At 41.0% G+C, this 23,039-nt stretch overlaps 2 protein-coding genes across 17 annotated transcripts in view, besides 2 other annotated features; one reads left to right on the top strand and one right to left on the bottom strand.

Moving 5' to 3' along the window:
• KATNAL2 (katanin catalytic subunit A1 like 2) overlaps positions 1-3,071 on the top strand; it is a 184,650-nt gene extending 181,579 nt beyond the window's left edge. For all 10 annotated transcript variants that reach the window (NR_148563.1, NM_001353904.1, NM_001353899.1 and 7 more), the window contains 3 exons: positions 71-233; positions 1,082-1,184; positions 1,694-3,071. Coding sequence is in view for 9 of the 10 variants with exons in the window: in NM_001353904.1 (NP_001340833.1) it covers positions 71-233; positions 1,082-1,184; positions 1,694-1,833 (406 nt within the window). In the remaining variant the exon portion in view is untranslated. The remainder of the gene's footprint in view (positions 1-70; positions 234-1,081; positions 1,185-1,693) is intronic.
• Positions 1,167-1,379: a silencer, noted in NCBI's record as "fragment chr18:44626710-44626922 (GRCh37/hg19 assembly coordinates)". NCBI's record gives its function as "represses an EF-1alpha promoter that drives an FKBP-Casp9 reporter gene in an ReSE screen in phorbol 12-myristate 13-acetate-treated (for megakaryocytic differentiation) K562 erythroleukemia cells {active_cell/tissue: K562(+PMA)}" and the evidence as "EXISTENCE:reporter gene assay evidence [ECO:0000049][PMID:32094911]".
• Positions 1,215-1,324: a silencer, noted in NCBI's record as "silent region_9424". NCBI's record gives its function as "represses an Ori minimal core promoter by ATAC-STARR-seq in GM12878 lymphoblastoid cells {active_cell/tissue: GM12878}" and the evidence as "EXISTENCE:reporter gene assay evidence [ECO:0000049][PMID:35858748]".
• Positions 3,072-8,237: 5,166 nt separating the features above from the next.
• The window catches only part of HDHD2 (haloacid dehalogenase like hydrolase domain containing 2), a 43,091-nt gene continuing 28,289 nt past the window's right edge, over positions 8,238-23,039 (bottom strand). For 5 of the 7 annotated variants that reach the window (NM_032124.5, NM_001318765.2, XM_011526227.3 and 2 more), the window contains 3 exons: positions 15,960-16,176; positions 13,805-13,868; positions 8,238-9,613 (listed from right to left, as the gene is read on the bottom strand). In NM_032124.5, the coding sequence (NP_115500.1) occupies positions 9,510-9,613; positions 13,805-13,868; positions 15,960-16,176 (385 nt within the window). In that variant the 3' untranslated portion in view covers positions 8,238-9,509. Of the gene's footprint in view, positions 12,615-13,804; positions 13,869-15,959; positions 16,177-23,039 lie in introns of all 7 variants that reach the window. The other 2 variants (XM_005258371.5, XM_024451272.2) reach the window with 2 other exon arrangements.

The raw sequence follows: 23,039 nt of genomic DNA on the forward strand, positions 1-23,039 counted from the left end.
TTAAAGTACAGTTGTTGTTCAGGAAGTGTGTTTGCAGCCCTGTCCAGCTCCATTTCTGGTGTGATTTCAGGGAGCTGGACTGTGCCATGTTACGCCGCCTGGAGAAGAGGATTCTGGTCGATCTCCCCAGCCGGGAGGCCAGGCAGGCCATGATCTACCACTGGCTGCCTCCTGTGAGCAAGAGCAGGGCCTTGGAGCTGCACACAGAGCTGGAGTACAGTGTGCTGAGCCAGGTCAGCTGCCCTGGAGAGGGGCACATGTAGGTCAAGGGCCCACCATATGGCCATCTTGTAGACCAGGTCTTACCATGAGCTGATAGAAGCTTGAGACACTTAGAATAAGATCCAAGCTGCCCCCGTAATGCAATGGGCATCTTCACGAAGAATAAGCTCCTTTTCACTTAAAAATATTCAGAGAAGGAGAAACAATGTGAGGCAGTGGAAACAGCATAGGGTTTAGACTCAGAGAACCTATGGTCAAATCCTGGCCCTGCTGCTTGTTAGCTGTGTGACCTCGGAGAAGTCACTTACTCTTTGAGCCTGTTTCTTCATCTGTAAAATGGGTAGCAGATGAGCCACAAAGAATGACTGTGATGATTACATAACAGAAAAACTCCAGGTACATGTCTATTATGCCCATTATCACTGGTGTCCATTCCCAGGGTGTTGCAGAAATGTTGCCTGCTTTTGGTGAACATTTGAACACAATGTTCTCTGAGGTTCCTAAATGGCAGGTATGATCTTATTTACAAGAATAAACGTGCCTACCAAATTTGACCATCCTTGGATTTGAGCACAGGGGCCCTGATAGGCTAACTTGGGTGTTCTGATCCTTCACTGGCATCTTACAGCATATTTCGATGGTGTTAGAAAGCCATTCTAGCCCAGCTGCTTAGGTTATCCCAACATGCTAGCAGGGTCTCTTCCTCAAGCACTGTTTATCTGGGAATCTTTTTAGGATGTTCATGGGTGACAGATACAGAATCTACACAGGGCTTCTGATACTGGGTCCTGCCTATAACAACGTAATGGCCAGGAGCATTCTGCCCACTGACCAATGGCTGGTTTTTTGGCTGTTTCAGGAGACTGAGGGCTACTCAGGCTCAGATATTAAGCTCGTCTGCAGGGAAGCAGCCATGCGGCCCGTGAGGAAGATCTTTGATGCACTTGAAAATCACCAGTCAGGTATGGGTTGGATCACCATGAAGGTGTTCCAGGAATTTGTGTAAAAATCCCTCTCACCAGCAGATGGAGCCTGGCGCCTGTTCTTGGTGCCGCTTTACACTTGGCAATGCGTTTTTTGGTCAAATCATCCCTCACTCAACTCATTCCTCCGTGGGTGTTCTGATTTGGATCGACTTTGCTTGCAGATGATAAACTCCTTAGGGCTCAGGCTTTTATTTCTCTGGCACACTCTGATGTTGGGCTGGATCCATTTGAGGCACTATATAAATATTAAATAATACCTGGTAACGATACATTTAGGTCACATTTTTTTGTCTGGGCCTTAGGGGCTAACTCAGTTGCACGTTAAAGAATTTTTCCCCAGCCCTCTTTAGTCTTGCCTTTTGCTGCATTAACAATTAAGAATGCTGCATTATGCATTATTTTGAAAGAAGGTCTATTAGCGTTTCAAGAGCATTGATCACCAAGAGGTCGATTGTTGTGCTGTTACTGTTGTGTTCTTATCCTAGAAAGCAGCGACTTACCCAGGATCCAGTTGGATATAGTAACCACTGCCGACTTTCTGGATGTGCTAACTCACACCAAGCCCTCCGCAAAGAATCTGGCTCAGAGATACTCAGACTGGCAAAGAGAGTTCGAGTCTGTCTGAAACCACATTTACCCTGACCTGGCCACAAAGGCAACCACAAAGACCTCCTAGTTTATTAATGTCCGTGGGAGAACAAAATGATTGGAATGGAAAAGAGAAAATTATTTTTGAAGACTGGATTAACTTGAGCCACTGTATTGTTTTGGATAGCTGAGATATATTTATTAACTTACCATTATCGATGTCAGCAAAATATTGAGAGTTTCAGTTACATACATATATGTGCTATTGGGTCATACAATGGAGATTTTTCTGACAATTAGACTCCATAAAATTTTAATGAACAATTTTCTGTAATGTTACTCATTTGTAAACTTTTTAAGAAAAAGATGTACTTAGAAAAGTTGTGTTGGCCACACACAGGATGACCCTGAGTTGGGGCAGCCAAGTAGAAGCTAAGCTTGACAGGCACTGCCCAGCTGACAGTCCCAGGGTGAAGGAGGACGGAAGCAGGGAAGGCAATGCAGTCTGTTTCTCATTCCGGACAATATTCTGAATCTCATCAGCTCCCCCTAATTCTGACTCCATCCAGCTTTGTCAGCAGCAAACCCCTCCCAAACTAAGCCCCACTCAGAAATGTCACTGAGCATTCTGATGCTAGAGCTAATAGCCAGGGTGACTAGCACACCATCACCATCAGCTGCCAGTCTGATTGTTTTGGGTTCTGGCCCCCAATAACATCTTTTCACTCTTCACACCTCACATCCGGTGTGCTCTGCCCTTCTCTTTCCATTGCCGCAGCTTCTCATCAGATCCAAAGCTTAGGATGGGGCACCTAAGCTTCGAGAACATTCATCCCAAGTCTTCCCTGCTCTTAGGCTCTTCCCCCTCTCCTTAAGGGGTTATAAACAACTAGACGCATCTCTCTCAGAAACCCACAATCCGAGGCATCTACTTTCAACCCTTGATAAATTTTGAAGGCTTCTACTAAGTAATGCCACTTCTTTTCCCCCACTAGAACTTACCTATGGGAAATCACCTTCTTTTCTCTTCCTTGCCTTGTCTTCATCATCCCTGCAGACAGACTCTTCAAGAGGAAAAACCTCCAGAAAGAGACACTTTGGATAGCTAAGTATCCCAAAGGATTTTACCCTTTTAAACAAAACCAAAGCATTTTTTTCGGTATCGATTATTTTGAGATTATTCTCAAATGCCTCTTTAAACATCATTTCATGGAAAATGTCAAATTGAAAATATACCTTATTTAACAAATTGAAAATAAAAAAGATTTCATCTCAGTACATGCTTAAACTTCTTCATAAGCATCAGGCACTACACCATGCAGCACCAGTGATATAGAGAGTCCCCAGTCCCTGGGCCATGGACCCGTAGTACCCGTCCGTGGCTTGTTAGAACTGGTTTGCACAGCAGCTAAGAGGCAGGTGAGCATTACTGCCTGAGCTCCACCTCCTGTCAGATCAGCGAAAGCATTAGATTCTCATAGGAGCGTGAACTCCATTGTGAACTGTGCATGCGAGGGATCTAGGTTATGCGCTCTTATGAGAATCTAAGTAATGCCTGATGATCTGAGATGAACAGTTTCATCCCAAAAGCATCCATCCCCCGCCCCCTATCCAGGCCCACTCCGTGGAAAAACTGTCTTCCATGAAACCGGTCCCTGGTGCCAAAAAGCCTGGGGACCACTGACATAGATGACTCTACTTTGAATGGCCCAAGACTGATGTAAGGCCTAAGTTCCGATGTCTACTTTATGGTTTGGCGGGGGTTCTTCTTGTCAGAACTGACATCAGCTGACATTTCTTGTAGCTGCTAGTCCATTTGCTTGTGGCCACTACCATCATTTCTAATTTTATAAAATCTCAACTGCTGTTGTGAATTTGCTGCAGTGGGAAAGTTGGTGCTGTATGTATACCCAAAAGTGACTGGGTAAAGGGGCAGGGGAAATGCTCCTCTGGATAGCAGGCTTCATGACAATACATTTAGGTCCTTTCTGCTTACTGCCCGTTCCTGAATTCATTCAGAATAAGTGCAGTCCTGCCATCCCTCACAGCAAATACACTTAACCTTCTTCCACTTCCAAAACCCCATATGCAGCCTGTGTGCCTGCTGCATCTCCACATCCTCCATTCCCTTTAAATATCGCCTAGTCCATGTTTTTAACACTTCCACCTCTATTCAATCACATACTCAGTCCTCCTCTTTTTTCCTAAGAAAATTTGTCTTCAAATACTTCGGCATGTGGATGTTTTTCTGTCACGCCTTTACTTTGGTGGCTTCTTCTTGATGCTTTATATATTTATTCCCACTTTGGATGAAATGAAGTGTAGCTCTTTCATCTCTCTGCCCTTTCCTTACCACATATACGTATCTGTCTCCATCATCCCAAAAGTTCTATTATGATTTTAGGTTAACTCAATAATCAATATTTTTAATAGAACTGTACATTGTTAACTGCAGAGCCAGCTAGTGAATTAGAATTACATTTGCTTTCTTGTTTTGTCTTTCCTAGAATTAACAACTGCCTTGTTTTTCTATTTGCTTAATTTTCTAAGTATCTTTTTTTTTTTTTAACACATTCTCGGACCTGTCAGATACCCATCAATATTCTTTTCCAAATGGCCAAACATACCAGATAAACTTTCCACTCCCTTCCCACCCGCTCTGGTCCTGGTGTTCTAAGGGAAAGGGGAGCAGAAGACCATGGCAGAATAAGCAATTTGTACCTAATCAATTTCCAGCCCTGCATCTCACCCTGGCCCACCACCATGCCCACTGTTTCCATGGCCTTAATTTCCATGGTTCCATTTTTCCAGAGAATAATGGAAAATTTCCATTCTCCTGCCTTGACTAGGGGTTGGCATCTGACTGCTCAGGGTGGGGAAGTTTCCTGAGGCTCCAACTTCTAACCAATTCCTCACTTTCAATCCTGTCTTGTACCTCACTTCCTCCCTACCTGCTGTCTGCAAGCCTTAAGTCTTTGAAGTTGTTCTACAGGATGAATTTTGGCTGTATTTTCTTTGCACTGATTTTGGCTATCAACATTCCAACCAGTTTCCACCTTTCAGATTATTGTACCTTTTCATCCACTGATGCCTCCTCTACCTTCTCTTGTGGGCTGACCCTGTGGGTTTACATTTTATTCCTTTTACTCTTATTTTGGTGTGGCTTTGAGAAAAAGAGACCAACACATATGACTAACCTACTATGTTGAGTCTCTATGATTATTTTTTTAAAGTAGATTAGAAGTATATATCTAAGTTTACATAGGAGATTGGCCTGATAGCTGTTGGAGGAAAGTTTAATGTATTTTCTTCCAAAGCAGAGGTCACAGCCCAAAGACCTACAGAAACATGGAATGTAGTGGCAAATTAGGAGTAAGATGGATGTTAGGCAAAGCAGAGGTGGAGACGGTGGTGAGCTAGAGAGGGCCAGGGACTCTCTGACACAGTAATGACTCTGCTCCAATTGGACATGGAAATTTGGATCTAACATAAGCCAGTTCTTCCCATCTTCCTAGAAAACCCAGTGGTTGATTTGCATTAGAATCTCCTGGTGTTCAGATGTTGGCAATCAAGGTTAACTATATGCCTGTAGAATTTCCACAGCCTGCTCCCACTCACCTTTAAAAGCCTTCCTTGGCAGACCATACTTACCTAAAGTAACCGCATTCCTGTTGGCCTTCTTCTTCATCATTCATCAATCTCTCACTGTATTCGGTAGCTGTGTATAAATGCACGTGTTTCATCATTTGTTTGCTCCCTCCAAATGTAAGCTCCATGCCTGGAGTACTTTTTTTCACTGCCATTGAATGAAACATTATTTAAAATGGCGTAGGCCAAAGGCTATCTGAGCACTGTCTGTGACTACTACTCTCATGCATTTTGCTCACTGCTCATGATCTTAGAGGACTTACACAACCATTCTGAACATGTCAGAGTCCTTGGTATTGTTATAAATTTTTATATGTGTTAATTTCCCAACTAAAAGACACACATCTTAGGAGCCACAGCTGTATTCTCTCCATCTCCCTTATGCTTTACTCACAGAGAACATTAAATATCTGATTTTTTCAGGAAGATCAGCTAGTGAAACAAACAGGAGTTGAGCTGTGTATGACATAAAGAAAAGCACTGGAAAAAACATTCAAACTGTTTGAAACAAATGATTTCTGGTACTTTGGCACCCTCGTTACTGCTCCTTAAAGATAGCAACATGATTTGGGACAGGAGGCCTTGATGGCTGGTATAATACGGAAGTCACCAAAAGCCTTGTGCATTTAGGCTGAAAAAAGCTTTTGTGACTTATGTCAAATAAACATGATAAGGCAAACACAGCCCTCTGCAAACAACTGCTAACATCACAAAGGGATTCTACTGCTTGAGGCAGTGTTTTAATGCAATAGGTTAGTGTCATTTAAAAAAATTCTCTATTATAGGTGCCCAAGGACTTCAGTTTTATCCTACATGAACACACATTGATCCAAAAACCAATTGAACACAATCAGTGTAGGTGTTTTTAACTTCTCTGTCCAACACACTACTGTAAGTTCTAAAATGTGGGATTATGTGTGAAGTGACATATATTATCATTCCATGGGAATTTCTGACATCACGGCTAAAGGTAAAGTTTGATGGAATTGTCACTTAGAATGAGGTAGGTTATCCTCCTTTTCCTTTCCTAGCCATTACGATTAGCTCTCACAGATGCAGAACGTACGGGAGGCAGAGCTACTGCAACCTGTGGCTGACTCTGGAGGTGTGGGTGGAGGGGGTTGAATCTGTTTCCCCTGGACTGGAGCTCTGCCCTGCTCCACACTCCTGGCTCACAGCAGATGTGGGACACTCAACTCCCGACAATGGATGTTTTCTAATAACCTTTCCAGTCCCAAGGTGTCACATGGTCCCTTTTCTGGCCCAGGACAGGATTATAATAAAACTGATGCAAACACCATCCTTGAAATTAATACCAGATAGCCCTTTAAATGGGACAGCCAGAAAATGAAGCCTAAGAAACTTCAGTTACTAAACTTCCTCCATGAGGCCCAAGGCAGACTAACCAGCTGAGACTAACATGGATTGGAATGTTTATAAGTAAGATTTTTAGTTATTCTCATGAACCTTACTGTGGGCCGGTCAGTTAGCAAGTCCTATATAATGCTTGTTAAAGATCTCAAACTAAGATTTTCAGGGCTCACAGGGATTAAGTGGAATGGAAGAATGGAGAGAAGCCATTTCTCCCGGCTGAGTCCATCATGCTCAGGAGACTTTTACCCTCTTCACTTCCTGACCCATCAATGATGTTCCCTTCTTGGCTTTAGCTCTAACCTGTCTCCAGAGCATCTGATCCATTACTTCCAAGTGTTTATTTAATGGGGCCTCCCCTATGGGCAACTTTAAGACAACAAGTCTAAAATGAACATTTTCTCCTGCCCACTCAAAGCTATGCTTTCTAGCATTACATTCCTAAGATATTTAGTTTTTATTGGTTCAGTAACCATTTGAGTGCTTACCTGTGTTGCAGCAGATATAGGAAAGAATGATGAAACTCAAATTTAACTGGGTAGCAAAATTAAAATTTAAAAAAATGAGATGCAGCCCTGTCTAGTGGGGAGAAGAGCATGTGAAGACATAAGTACACTCTTCAAGTGCCACACGGACATGAAGGAGGGGACACCTTGCCCCATCCTGAAGTCAGGGACGACATCAGAGGACAGGAACGCCTCTGTGTGTATTCTTTTCCTTAGCTCTTCAACTGAAAAGGATCCTTGAGGCAAAATCTTTTTCTTAATATGCTTATTTCCCACCATAATCAGGGCACTCAGTGCACAGCAACTAGCAAACACTTGATAATGCTTGGGCCAAGGCATCACTGACCCAGGTGCCCAAGCAACAGGGCAAAATTGAAGGCAGCCCACCCACCAGGCACCACGCAGAGCTCTCTACCCACAGGCTGAGCTCTCTCTCTGTGCAGCTTTGCTCTGAGGAAGTCTAAATGTAGTAAAGAATATCCTTTTTTTTAATCCTTAGGAAGACTTTCTCCACTGAGATAAATGTAAAGATAAATTCTACCAACCTTTTTCAGACTGTTAAATGTGGAGAGTCCTGCTTCATCATCATCATCATCACAAACGCACAGCACTCATCATTTGCCCAATGATATTCTAAGTACTTAATATATAGTTCATGCACGTAATGCTCACACCAACCGTATGTGGTGGGCACTATCATTATCCCCATTTTATAGATAAGGAAAGAAGGCATGAGAGGTGAGGTGACTTGCCCAAGGCCAGAGAGCTAATTTTGTGTTACCAGGATCCAGAGTATACTCTTAGCCACTCCGCTCATCCTTCTGATTTGGGGTGGTAGTCATATCACATCTGTCTTTTGCACTCTGGGATATAGAAGTACTAAGATGAGGCATTTGCAAAAACAAAAACACAGTGCTCACCAAACTAACATTTATTTAGCTTTGTTCCCTCCCATCCAAGACTGCTGATCTCTAAACAAGCATCAAAACCCGAAGCTCATTAACATCAGAGTGAGCTTCAATAAGGTGAACACTACAATGATGTACAATTACATCCTAATAATTCAATGCCCAAGAGCCCTGTAGAACTATTGCAAGGCCCAGGATTATCACAGTATGCAAATGCACTAGGAAAATCATTACCTATTTAGTCCCCTTTATTTTGGTGGGTTTAACATGAGAAGAATAATCCATGCTACAAGACGAGATTTCATTTTACAGCTGTAGTAACCAAGTGCATAAAAGCTTGAATCTGTCCCAATAGCTTCTAAAAAATTTTTCCCATAGTGTCAGAGGCAAAAATAATGAAATCTTGCAAATGTACAGTTAATAGGACCCTAGTGGACACTAACTTCAAAAATGCATGGTCTATAAGATATTATAAGGCTTGATTCTAGTTTCTGCACTGTTCCTGTTAATAACAATGTCTAATTAAAACATCTGTAAAATACTGATAGTTTTAATTTTACATAAAATTTCCAAAACAACTGTTACACAGTATAATAGGTATCTGCAATGAATAGGTTATTAATGGAAATATTAATTTAAATTAAAATCTGGTTCTAAATTTAAATTAGTCATCTCTGGCTAATGAAGAGAAAAAGAAGTCACCCGTGCTGGGAATACAGTAGAAAATTTAGTTTTCAACATCTGTTAAAGCAAATTCACTGTACCACTTGGGCTAAAGAACAATTCACTTTGTTGCTTTCTGTCTTCTCCATTTGGCACATCTGATGGATTTCACAGTTGAACTCAATATTAGAACTACAGCCTAATGCACCTTTTAATACATTACTTTATAATTTAAAAACCACCATTCAACTTTCTTCACAGTCTGAAATCCCCCCTCCCTGTTTTCCAGTGAAGAGACAGCAGAGAACACTCTTCCCTGTAGTAGCTTTTCCCCCACAGCCCCACCTAACCTGATGAATATTTTAAAAGGAATGGCACAAAATCTCAGCTTTCCCTTTCTTTGGGTCTCATCTTCAGTTACAAAATAAAAGAGATTAGCAAGGCTTACTGGCTAGCCGCAATTCAATACCTTTCTTTCTAATTAATGCACAACAAAAGAGGGTTAAAAAGCGATCAGCACTGACTGGTGTCTACCGATGCTGGCACTGAGTTGGTAAGGGATTCATTCCAGACAATAAGAAGCTGCATTTCAAGTTGCTTCAGATGCACACACTGCTTCACAATAGGTGCTGCAGAATGTGGTCCACAGCATGAGGGAAACTCTCACAAGTTAAGTAAGGAGGTGGATTAATTTTTTCTTCATCTGATGCTCGATATTTCCCTGAAATGAAAGTAAAGCCAGTAAACACAGGCTGCCACCAGAATGCTAAATTAATCATACCCCATGAGCACCTGGGTCATCACAGCACCACCCTTACAGTTAAGACAGAATCAGGGGCTGCACATCTCCCAAATCACCTTTTATTGAGGCTTCAGGATGTAAATGAGGCAATTCAAAGAAATGTCACATTCAGCCTTTCCCCAGGCCCTCTGGTCATTCACAATGGACAGCCACAGGTACTGGATCGTCTGACAGCTAAGATTCCCTTCACATGTTCACAGCTGATGAAATCATTTTCTTTCCCCTACCCTCAGCTCTAAAGATAGATTGGTGATTAAATTAATGCTTTAAAATGGAAGCCCAGACCCCAGAGGGCAGAGGACTCATCCGCTCCCAAAGGCAACTGGGAACAGGATGTGCTGCTGCCACGCAGGGATCCAGGCAGCCCGGGAGCCCAGCAGATGAGAACGCCCTGGGTTGGGGAGGAAAAGAGTGATGGATGCTCGCAGGCCAGGGGCCAGGCAGGACAGGCCACTTGGCATCAAGCAGCAGGCTCACTGCCTGACTCTCCCAACCGTGGAATTCAAGATGGCCTGCTGTTCTAGCACCTGGCACACAATTTAACACCTCAACACAGCAGAGGAACCATTCCACAGTGGTCACAAAGAGCTTTTACAAGTCAGAAGGTGCACAGTCCCTATTTAAAGACCCTTTAATGGGTCCCAGTGCCCTTCAGAAAGAATCCAAAATCTCTACTGCTGCTTACCAAGCCCTTTGTCATGCAGCCCCAGTGACCCTCTCACCTAAGCATGTGCTACTGGCTCACCAGGCTGCAGTCCCAGACTGGACCTGCTTTTCTGAGGGCCTACACACGTGCCATTCCCTTGTCATTCCATTATTCTCACCTGACTACCTCCTTCATGCTTCAGGTCAGACCCCACCTTCCCATCCAAATTAAACCCCCTCCCTGTTATTCACCTTGTTCTTTGCCTCCACAACATTTACAACAATTTGTAATTATGCATTTATTTGTTTAACATCTGTCTCACATTTAAGAAGACTAAGTTATTTGAGACAGGGGCTATATCTGTTACATGTCCCAATGTATTCCAAGTACCTAACATAGTGACTAGCACATAGTAACTATCCTATAAATATCTTTTTAAAGAATGAATGGAGGGAAGAAGAGAGGGGAGGGAGGAAATGCAGAACGCAGCTCCTGCCCTGTAGCCACCAGGGCTGCCTCTGCCCTTCACCTTTCTCCTTGCTCTCTCATCCCTTTGTGGTCTCTATTGTTGATTCTTCTGCTTTTCCCAGTTTTCTCTGCCTAAACTCAGCTCTTTCAACAAGAGACCTACTGTTTTCTACAACTACTTTAAGAGGCTTTGCCAGACAAACACAAAGCCTGAAAAACCCTCTTTTCCACATCTTTGCATCATGGTGGAGAAGACGCTTCCTGTCTTATCTTACTGATTATAACTTCTTACAGGAAGGGAGCCAGCATCAAATGTACAAAGGTAATTAATATATACCTCACTCTCGTTAGCACCCTGAAGGCACCTGTCCATAGCATGGTCCCCGCAGCAAGCTCTACTGCCAGTTTTCTTCCCAAGCTTAAATATCGTTAGTATAAACTCCTTCACAAGGTTTCTATTTGATCTTACAGGTAAGTTAATGACTAAATATTACTATATGACCTACTTTCTGGATCCAGTGGTCTAAGAGACAAATAAATAAGCTTCCTAGCCATGGAGTTAAAGGCTTTTGCTTAGTCTGGCTCTGCAAGTGGGGTTTCTACAAAATAGAAATTGACAAAAGTGGCTTAGGTATATGTTTTAGTTCTAGCACCTAGCACACAGCAGGGGCTCAATAACGTTCGTTGAGTGAATGGAGCTGCCTGCATTGCTCATGGCTGATTCACTCACTGCAGCAGCCTGTGCTTTCATGGATGGATAAATGATGAATGGAGGGAGAAAACAGGATGCTATGTTGATGATATATGAAGGCAAAGAAAGATCCTATTTTTTTTCTAGATGACTGTTTCACATGCTAAACAAATTCTGGTTAGGACTAGTCAAAAATCTTTAACAAATAATTGATCAAATTATATTGAGCATCTACCTTGTGCTACCCCTTTAGAAACAAAATTGCTCGAGATGATCCACAGAAAGCACTTATTATTGAATATGAATTAAAATATTTACGGTTATTTTCAACACTGGGAAGCCTAGCACTTGTCCACTGCACTGAGTTAAAATTTACCAATGAAGCTGGCTGTTCCACATGTTTTTAGAACAGTAGGGTTATTCATGATTTTTCTGACCAAAAATCAATGGTACAAATATGCCTGCTTCCAAGAGCTGTACTTAGTTGATTTACTAATTACACATTTTGGACTTGATTGTGTTACGCTGATGGCTTCTCAGAGACTAAACTGATGCCTGTGAAAGGCTGGTCACAATAAAATGCCAGTCACAATAGACGACAGAGCCAGTGGAGACCAGCTGGGGGAGCTGGGCCCATCAAGACACTGACAGAGGTACCATTTTGAAGCTCAGTGTAAATCCTTAATTACATGAGCTAAAAAAAAAAAAAAAGAAAGAAAGAAAGAAAGAAATACTCATGGGAATAATACACAAGAGCAAAAATAGTTATCTAAGGATTTCTTCAATAATGAGAAAATAAAACAGCAAAAGGCAGGAATCTGAAAACAAAGATACATGGAGGCTGACGAGTGTGGCTACTTTTCCAGACTTCATTTCATTCTTCCTCTTTTCTGCTTACATCACAGGGCTGTTACGTTCCTGGGAAGGTGATCATTTTGACTGAGACATTCGAAAAAATCCACTGTGTTAATTCTAGAGTGACTGGTGTTACTATCTGCAAGGCTCCAATGGTTCACTTCAGGCCCCAGGAGCAAGCAGACAGTGTTTTCACTCTTTGTGCAGACCTTTGCCACATACTTCTTATTCAATTGTAGCTCCATCTACATTTCTTGTTTCTATTTGAAATTCAAAACAGATTTCAAGCAACCACATTTTCTTGAACAAACATCATAGTCACTTTTTCTAAAAAATTCCCCAGTTGTAACTCTTCTTTGACTTTATGTTTAAATATTCCCTTCTGTAAACAGCCAATTAAATAGTTTTACTACTATGATATGAAACCAGGCAAATGAGCTCACAGAGACATCTATGGAACCATTTATCTGCTATTTGATTTATAAGAGTCTGGTGATGATTCTTGGACAAGATTTCTGGCTGTCATGTGCTGTTAATTCCAAATGCAGCAGGTGCCATTTGGGGGCAGCATGCAGGGGAAGAAGGGCTTTTCATTTTAACGGTAACAGCTCATTAAGTTCCCAATGCAATAATATTCAGCCCCACTAACAGATCTTATGCCTGTTCTTTCTTTATCTCGAAAGGACTTTATCAGTCCCACTCTACACAGGATCATAAACTATGAGGGCGAGATGGGACCAGTCCAATCCCATCATTCTCACAGGGCCTGAAAAGGGGAAGAGCCTTGACCCGAGTCTCACACAGCTAGTTAGTGCAGAGCTGACCAGGACCCAAGGCACTTAACCAGTCTACGGTGGTCATAATACTGTATTAGTGAATCCTCCCCACTAAAGTCTTTCCTTTTTCCTAAATTTATTTGAGATACCACATAGAGTAAACCTAATTGTGCAGGAAATACTTCTTAACCTTTTGCTCACCACAAACGGTAAGTAAAGAGAAAAAAGAGTTTTTCAAATATTTTTGTAAAAGTTCAAACATTAACACAAAGAATCAGATCACTTAGCTGGCCAGTTTCCTAAAGAAATCAGTATCACAGGTATAGCCAGCACAAAAATAAAAGGTATTTTCACAGAGCACCACCATCCATGGTCCTTTGCTTCATCCCTCTGTGGTGAACTGTACATCCAGGAAATAATATAAATGCTGTCAACCAGGAATGGTTACCTCTGGGAAAGTACTAAAGTACCTCTGAGCCCTGATCTTCCTAGCTTTGTACAGCACGGGCCCTTCCCAATTGTTTCCTATAATCCTAAGCTGTTTTATTTTTGCTTTGTGGCAGGAAGAGAATAAAAGTGCCCAGGGCTCTGCCATTTCTGCAAAGATTGTTCTTTAAGCAACTGTGTATTCTACTATTCTGTTTTAGAAAATGCTTTATACAGAAGATACATACCAGTCTTTACTAAGATGCCCAGCATGCCGACATCTTGAGCCCCACCAACATCATCCCTGCAATCCTAGAAAAGCATAAAGAAAGCATTTAGTCCAGTGTCTTCAGTAAGCTAGCCAACAAACATTACCAACTGATTTATTAGGCTAGGGTGTCCAACTGTAATGCCATGTTTTTTATTGAAATAGAAAAGAGAAGATGTAAAAGGTGAATCCACATGTAATACTCTGAGGAAGCATTCCAAATTGGGAAAGGGAAGTATCTCAGAGGTGGAAGGTATAGAATAGAGTAGTAATCCTGGTAACCAAACACAGAGAGCTGAGTTACAATTACAATTCTCTATGCTTTGCCACACCTACATCTATTTATCTCCCCATTAAACAGATCATGGAAAAATGCATTCTATCCATTTGGCAGTAAATAATACAGCTGCAGACAGGGAATGAGCTAGATTCAGAAGATAGCTTTTCTGTGGCCCACATAGTATGTTATCCTTACTTTCTATCCCATTGTCCTAACAGGTAGAATCAAGTTAAATCCAGATACTTAAACAGACTCTGACTGTCTGATGTTCACTTCACACTTGGGAATAACAGATCAGTCTGAAAAAGAAGCTCCTCTTTCTAATTATTATTCAAGATAAGGATAAATATACATCATCAATGATGATGAATGCAAGGTAATTAAAATTCCAAGGACTGAAAGAAAAATCAAAAAAATTAATCTTGCCACCTCATGTCTATAAGCAGGATTGATTCAGACCATGCCTGAAGAAAGTTTTTTTTTTTCCTTAAAAACCATTAATATTGTTCAACAACAGCCCTTGAAAATGAGTTTCAGAATGTCAAAATCCTGATTCAAGGTCCAACTTCAAACCATTTCTGTTACAGCTAAACTTGCCCTGTTGAAGAGTGGAGATGGGGGAGAGGAGATAGGGAGGTGGGAAAAAGAATGTGGACAATGAGACGGTGGGGGGCAGGGAACCACCACTTTCCTGGGTAACCAACAGCCCCCCATGCAGCACAGCTGTTGCATCCCTTCCCACCTCTCATCCTGTCCCAGGGCCAGCAACTCCTGGGATAAAGAATTCTGAAGGCTCCAGCTCAGATAACCACTTTTTTAGACATATTTGTCTAGGAAAGGCAGCTAAAGGCTTGTCAAGAGGAACAGGTGTGACTCAAAAGATGGTTTCTCAAAATACTACTGAGCTCAGTGATTATCCTATTCAATTTTAGGTGAATGATTATAGAAACAGAAGATAAAATCAGGAGGACTGTGATACACATTTCCACCATCACAAGTTAAAACAGCTAGGGAGGGAGTCCTGAGCTCAAGCTCTACTTCCAGCTGTGCTACTAATTAGCTATGGGAATTCAGGCTTGGTGATTCACCTCTTTGGGCTTCAGTTTCCCAGTCTATAAAATGAGGAGTTTTGGACCAGACATTTGTGACGATCCCTCCCAGCTTGACATGTTATTATTTAAAAATTGAAATATAATCCTGGCCACCAATTTACCATGTGGCAGTGTGCTTTCCAGCTGTTTTCCCATCAAGACACACATGGGAAATAACATTTGCCTAGTACACTGGGGTAAACTGACAAGGTGCTCACGGCCACAGGTGACCAGCCAGGGCCTCCAATCATCCCAGGCTCAGCCCTGCCACTCAAAGGGCTAAGGTGATCAATAGCTTTAGCTATTTGTGGCACACAGATAGAGAAGTTCTTCCATACAGCATATGCTAAGGAAAAAAACAATAGTGGTAGAATTCTTTGGTGTAGGTTCTCATTTGTGCAGCATTGTTTCTCAAAAAGACATTTAAAGCATTCAATTGACTTGCAATATAAATGGCTTTTGAACTATATATATAATATACAAATATATATATATTATAGGAGTTAACTACATATATATATGTATCATAACACACAAATCTCCTATTACGCTATGGAGAAATGTCAGAAATAATAAAAATTTCAGTTCTTTAGAAGAATACCACTAAACATCGACAGGAAACCTCATTTTATAGGTAGCCATTTATATATATACTGTCCACATTGTCAGTAACAGAATGTCCCCTTTCCTAAAGCAGTGTTTCTAAGCTGGCTTTCCCAGCACAACAGGTGAGCTGGGAGCACCTCCTGGGTTCTTCTACTTACATCTCCTATCATGACAGCCTCCTCAGGTTCACAGCCAGTGCCCCGCAATGCTTCCAAAAAGAACGTCTTCTCTGGTTTCCCCACGACTGTGGCTTTGGTATCTGTGGCATACTCTAAAGCAGTCACAAATGGTCCAGGCCCCAGGGCTAAGCCATCTTTCCTCTTGTAATACCTGGCTTTGTGGATTGCTATCAGAGGTGCTCCATCCAGGAGTAACCTAGAGAGAACAACAACAAAAAAAACAAATTGGCTAAAAGCAAGGCTTTTATGACTGGGAACGAATGTCAGACTTACAAAGTGGCTGTATTCACACCCACAGAAACAAATAGTTTCTTATTAACTTTTAATGACTTGCTGTCTTCTAATGAATTCACAAAGAACTGCTGGGAATTACACTCAGATACACTAAAGAAAGGTGATAGATTATTAAATTTGGGATTGCTTCAACCTTTTACCTTTAGTGGTTTCAGACACTACCCAAATCACCAGGGAAAGAGAATTAAGAGAACTAAAGCTAAATAAGACACTCCAGGGAAGAAGCTTAACTTAATGAGACAAGTTGTTTCAACCTTCCCCAATGGTAAGCAGGAGGCTCCTGAGCCTTTTACAATACTACACAATTGTTGCTGCAGTGATATTAACTCCTAAAATATCTGAACTCCTGTTTCCTCTACTCCAAAATGTAAGTTTCTTTTTAATTCAGAAATTTTTAATAAAGTGTTTTACAAAGAGTTTCTGCTTGCACTTTTACTTCTTTTACCTTTTGACTGCTTTCAACATTATTTTGCAAATCAGGCCATCTTTCCTGAAGAAAAAGATTTACAGGAGACCCTTCCCCATCAGGTCCCTTCCTTTGTCCTGATACAGGACGAAGAATACTCTCACATCAGACAAAAGGACATAAAGAGTTTTCCCATTATTTTGACAAGCAAATTCTACCTATAGCTAAGAATCCTCATTAGTAACTCAGGCAAAACAACAAGTCAAAAAGTCCCCAGAAATTTAATACTCATTTTCCAACACCCAACCTAAAACAACTGCCATCCATCACAATAATACAGCCTTTAGTCACATGGCAGAAGTACTCACGCACATATTATCATCTAATAGCATGCGGGACATGATATATTTCTTAAACTGCTTTTAACCAATGTAATAAATGATCTCACTAGCTTAATTTACTTTAAGTCATCTACTTCGTTAAAATATTTAGTATGTCCATCAAGGAAGAATTCATCATATCTTACCCTTCACAATTATGAGTAATTAAGCGCTCAACTATGAAACTGCTAAATTATTTTTGTCAGTGGGCATGGAAATGCCTTCCTGTGGGAGATGCAGAATTCAGACATTTATGATTAAATATTTTATTAAGTAAAAACCAATACTATTACAGGGCCTTACTGTTAGTTACTACAAATTGCTCACAGCATTGGACAGATCCTTCAAATTTATTCACTAATATTAATACAAATTTATTTCTTAAAGCTGCTCTTGAAATACAACTATTAGGAAACCTGGCAAAGCCATTCTGTTGGCTTTAAAGACCTAGAGCTGACAGCAATGAGTTACTAACGGGTGACTTATCTATCTCTTCTCCTGTCACCCCACCCCCAAGCCCACTTATTTGCTACTCTACCACGGAACTAGAATTCTTTATGCAACAGACCTCAAAATTGCTTTCCACTTATATAGCCTAAACTGAAAACTCATTTGATTTAGCTTTGTTAATATTTTATCATATATTAACTGGGGATAAGACTTATCAGCTTGATTGATGTGTGTACTTAATTCCCAGGCAGTACTTTAGTGCCTTCCCTGGAAGAGGTGAAACTGTGGGTTCCTCTACACTTCTCTAAATGGGAACTGGTTCTACACTAGGCTGGAGAAGTGTTATACATCTCTCAGGGAAGCAGTTCTTCCTTCTACTGTTCTTCTCTGCATAGCATAAGCTTTACTGAATCTTTGAAGAGCCAAGGCATATTGAGGATGGACTGAAAAGTAACTGTTTTCTAGGACACAGATTAAAAGATCTTTTATAGTTAAACATTTTTAAAAATATCAGAGCCACCCCAATACTTGGAGTATTTTTATACTTACTAGACAGGGCAACAAAAGGTTGGCTGTGACTATGGCTTGTCCCCCCAAAATTTATCTGTTGGGAAATTAATTCCCAATGCAACAGTGTTGAGACGGGGGCCTTTAAGCGGTGACTAGGTCATGAGAGCTCCACCGTTAATGAAGAAATAGGTTAGTTATTGCAGAAGTGGGTTCCTGATCAAAAGGATGAGTTTGGCCCCCTTCCCTCTCTTGTGTGCGTGCTCTCTTGACCTTCTGCCTTCTACCACAGGATGATGCAGCAAAAGGCCTTCACCCAGTGCAGGCCCTTCAACCTTGAACTTCCTAGCCTCCACAACTATAAGAAATAACTCTGTTCTTTATAAATTACCTAGTCTCAGGTATTGTTATAGCAGCACAAAATGTAAAAAGATAGTTGTTTTTAATACAGAGATAATATGTCAGCAGAAAATCTGAAAATTTTGTCTAACTATAAGCCTATTGGAGGCCAGGCACAGTGGCTCATGCCTGTAATCCCAGCACTTTGGGAGACCAAGATGGGAGGCCCACTTGAGGCCAGGATTCCAGACCAGCCAGAGAGACTCCATCTCTAAAAATAATATATATGTAATTATTATAAGAAATAATTATGCAACTTGCTTTATTGTGATACTTATTTTATTGCAGTGGTCTGCAACCAACTCCAAAATATCTCATAGACATGCCTGTATTTGGAAGAATACTAGATTGGTTTTTGGGTTCTGGGTTTTTGCTTCTGCAATAAAGCAAGTCACATAATTATTTCTTACAATTATAATAATTACATATATATAATTATATTTTAAAGGCACAAAGAAGGCCTAATTCAAAAATTTCTGGCTATAAATTCCATGTAGGTGAATAAACAAAGTGTAAAAAATCCTAGCCCAGGGAGCAGGGCTACCATATAAAAATCTCAGGCAGAGCAGCGAGAGAAAGCTGAAGGAGTGATTTAAATTTAGAGCCACACAATTCCTCAAAGCCCTAGAACCAGAAATACCATCTGACCCAGTAATCCCATTAGATTACCCAAAGGAATATAGATCATTCTATTATAAAGATACATGCATGCATATGTTCACTGCAGCATTAGTCACAAAAGAAAAGACATGAAATCAACCCAAATGCCCGTCAGTGATAGACTGGAGAAAGAAAATGTGGTACACATACACCATGGAATACTATGCGGCAATAAAAAGGAATTAGGTCATGCCCTTTGCAGGGACACGGATGGAGCTAGAAGCCATTACCCTCAGCAAACCAAACACTACATGTTCTCACTTATAAGTGGGAGCCGAGCAATGAGAAGACATGGACACAGGGAGGAGAACAACACAGACTCCGGCCTGTTGGGACTGCAGGGGAGGGAGACCATCAGGAAAAATAGCTAATGCCTACCGGGCTTAATACCTAGGTGATGGGTTGATAGATGCAGCAAATCTTCATGGCACACGTTTACCTATGTAACAACTCTGCACATCCTGTACTTGTACCCCGGAATTTAAAATAAATTTAGAGCCACAGAATATTACTGAAAGAGACCCAAAGGAACATCAAGTCCAACATGCCCCATTTTACAGATGAGATCATCTGAGATGCTGGCACCAATCAAGGAGAGCTAGAACCAGTGCTGGAAGCTGGAACCTGAAAACCAATCTGGGATTCTTCCAAATACAGGGATATCTATGAGATATTTTGGATTCAGCTGCAGACCATTGCAATACAGCAAGTATCGCAATAAAGCGAGTCACATAAATTTTGGTTTTCCATAGTCTATTAAGTGTGCAACAGCATTGTGTCTAAAAAAAAGTATGTGTGTTAATTTAAAAATACTTTATTGCTGAAAAATGCTAACAATCATCTGAGCCTTCAGGGAGTCATAATCTTTTTGTGGGCAGAAGGCCTTGCCTCGATGTTGATGGCTGCTGACGGATCAGGGTGGTAGTCACTGAAGGTTGAGTCACTGTGGCAATGCCTCAAAATAAGACAACAATGAAGCTTGCTGCATCAGTTTAATCTTCCTTTCATGAAAGAATTCTCTGTAGTATGTGATGTTGTTTCACAGTATTCACAACAGAAACTCTTTCAAAATTGTGAATCAATCCTCTCAAGCCCTTCTGCTGCTTTATCAGTTAAGTTTATGTAATATTATAAATCTTCTGTTGTTATTTCAACAACGTTCGAAGCATCTTCACCAGGAGTAGATTCCATCTCAAGAAACCACTTTCTTTGTTCATCCAAAAGAAGCAACTTCTCATCCATTCAAGTTTTATCATGAGATCGCAGCGATTCAGTAACATCTTCAGGCACTACTTCTAATTCTAGTTGTTTTGCTATTTCCACCACATCTGCAGTTACTTCCTTCACTGAAGTCTTGAACCCCTCAAAGTCATCCATGAGGGTTAAAATCAACTTCTTCCAAACTCCTGTTGATGTTGACATTTTGACCTTTCATGAACCACAAATGTTCTTAATGGCATCTAGAATGTTGAATCCTTTCCAGAAGGTTTTCAATTTTCTTTGCCTAGATCCACCAGAGGAAATCATTGTCTATGGCAGCTATGGCCTTACAAAATATATTTTTTAAATAGTAAGACTTGAAAGTCAAAACGACTCCCTGATCCATGGGTGGCAGAATGGGTGTTGTGTTAACAGGCATGAGAACAACATTGATCTCCTGGTACATCTCCAGCGGAGCTCTTGGGTGACCAGTTGCTTTGTCCATGAGCAGTAATATTCTGATGGGAATCTATTTTTCTGACCTGTAAGTCTCAATAGTGTCTTGGAACATTCAATAAACCATGCTGTAAACAGATGTGCTGCCATTCAGGCTTTGTTATTCCATTTATAGAGCACAGGTTTGAACTTAAAGTCACCAGCTGCATTAGCCCCTAACAAGATAGACTGCCCGTCCTTTGAAGCTTTGAAGCCAGGCACTGACTTTTCCTCTCTAGCAATGAAAGTCCTAGGTGGCATCTTTTTCCAATGTAAGACTGTTTCATCTACACTGAAAATCTGTTGTTTAGTGTAGACGCCTTCATCAATGATCTTAGCTAGATCTCTGGATAACATGCTGTAGCTTCTACATCAGCACTTGCTGCTTCATCTTGCACTTTAATGCAAGTTTATGGAGACAGCTTCTTTCCTTAAACTTCATGAACCATCCTCTGCTAGCTTCAAACTTTTCTTCTGTAGCTTCCTCATCTCTCTTAGTCTTCAAAGAACTGAAGAGTTAGGGCTTTGTCTTAAGGGAATTTTGTGGCTGGTTTGAGCTTCTATCCAGACCACAAAAGTTTCTCCGTATTAGTGATAAGGCTGTTTTGCTTTCTTATCATTTGTGTGCTCACTGGAGTAGCACTTTTAATTTCCTTCAAGAACTTTCCTTTGCATTCAAAACTTGGCTATTTGGCACGAGAGACCTAGCTTTCAGCCTATCTCGGCTTTCGACATGCCTTACTTGCCTTACTCATTTCTAGCTTTTGATTTTAAGTAAGAGATGTATGATTCTTCCTTTCACTTAAACACTCAGGGGCCACTGTAGGGTTATCAATTGGCCTAATCTGAGCATCATTGTGTCTCAGGGAATAGGGAGGCCAGAGGAGAGGAGAGAGTTAGAACAGCTGGCTGGTGAAGCGGTCAGAACACACACAACATTAAATTTGCCATCTTAACATGGGCATGGTTTGTGGCTGCCCAAAACAATTACAACAGTAACACCAAAGATCACTGATCACCACAACACATAATAATAATGAAAAGTTTGAAATATTGCCAAGAATTACCAAAATGTGACACAGAGACACAAAGTGAGCACATACTGTTGGAAATATGGTGCCGATGACTTGCTCAATGTAGGGTTACCACAAAATCAGTTTGTTAAAAAAAAAAAAAATGCAAGTGAAGCGCGATAATGCAAAGTGCAATAAAAAGAGGTATGCCTGAACACGACGCTGTCTTTCTAAATAACCATTTCCCCTGAAGATGAAGCATGTGGAAATGAAATTATACTGCAGATTAAGTACTGGTCAAACACCTACCATATGTCCAACGTCAAACTGGTAAGTCCCTCTCACCCCACTCCCCAAAAGTGTTTCTTTCCCAATCTTTCCCATCTCTGTAATTTCTCCAGTTACTCAAGCCAGAACCCTATCAGTCATACTTGATTTCTCAATTTCTCCCACCACCTCCACATCCCTATTCACTAGGAAATCCAGTAATTTCCAATTTTGAACAAAAATTAAAATATCTCAAAATTGTCTTACTCTTTCACCTGAACTGTAACAGCCTTACAACTGGTCTTCCTGCATTTTTCTCTTGACCTATTACTCCAATCCATTGTATAAGCAATAGCAGGAGTTTTGAAAAGTGCAAATAGATGTGATCATGTCCCTCCCCTGCTCAAAATTCTTTAATAGCTTCTCATGGCAACCAGCATAAAATCCAAAGTCCTTAGCACAGTCTCGAAAGCCTTGCCCTATCTATCCCCAACCCCGCATCTCCACTCTCAAGTTACCTTTCCCATTATTGACTGAGCTCCTGCCACAATACTTTGTTCTCATTTCCTCAAAAAATGTCAAGCTCTTTCCTGCTTCAGCCCCCATATGGTGCCCCCTCCTCCTGAAATGGTTCCCCATACTTTTCACATAGATTTCTTCCACTCATTTGTCAGGTTTCAGCTTAAATGTCAGCAAATCAAAGAAGTCATTTTTAATCTCTCTTTAAATAAAGTGGACTTCCTCCTCACATTTGGTAACTATTTCAACCCCTTTTTTCCTTCATATCACTTGGCATGATTGGTAATCCTTATCCTATTGTGTTTGGTCTGTCTTCCTCACTAGAACAGTCTCCATAATGCCCATCAGTTGTACTCATCACTGAATTCCCTACTTAAAAAAAATAAGGCCTGGTACCTTTTGCTAAATGTTTATTCAATAAATTAAATCATGGATGAACCTCTGCATGCCTCAGTGTCCTGACCTATGA

This window comes from Homo sapiens, chromosome 18 (genome assembly GCF_000001405.40).
Source record: "Homo sapiens chromosome 18, GRCh38.p14 Primary Assembly".
Classification (NCBI taxonomy): domain Eukaryota; kingdom Metazoa; phylum Chordata; class Mammalia; order Primates; family Hominidae; genus Homo; species Homo sapiens.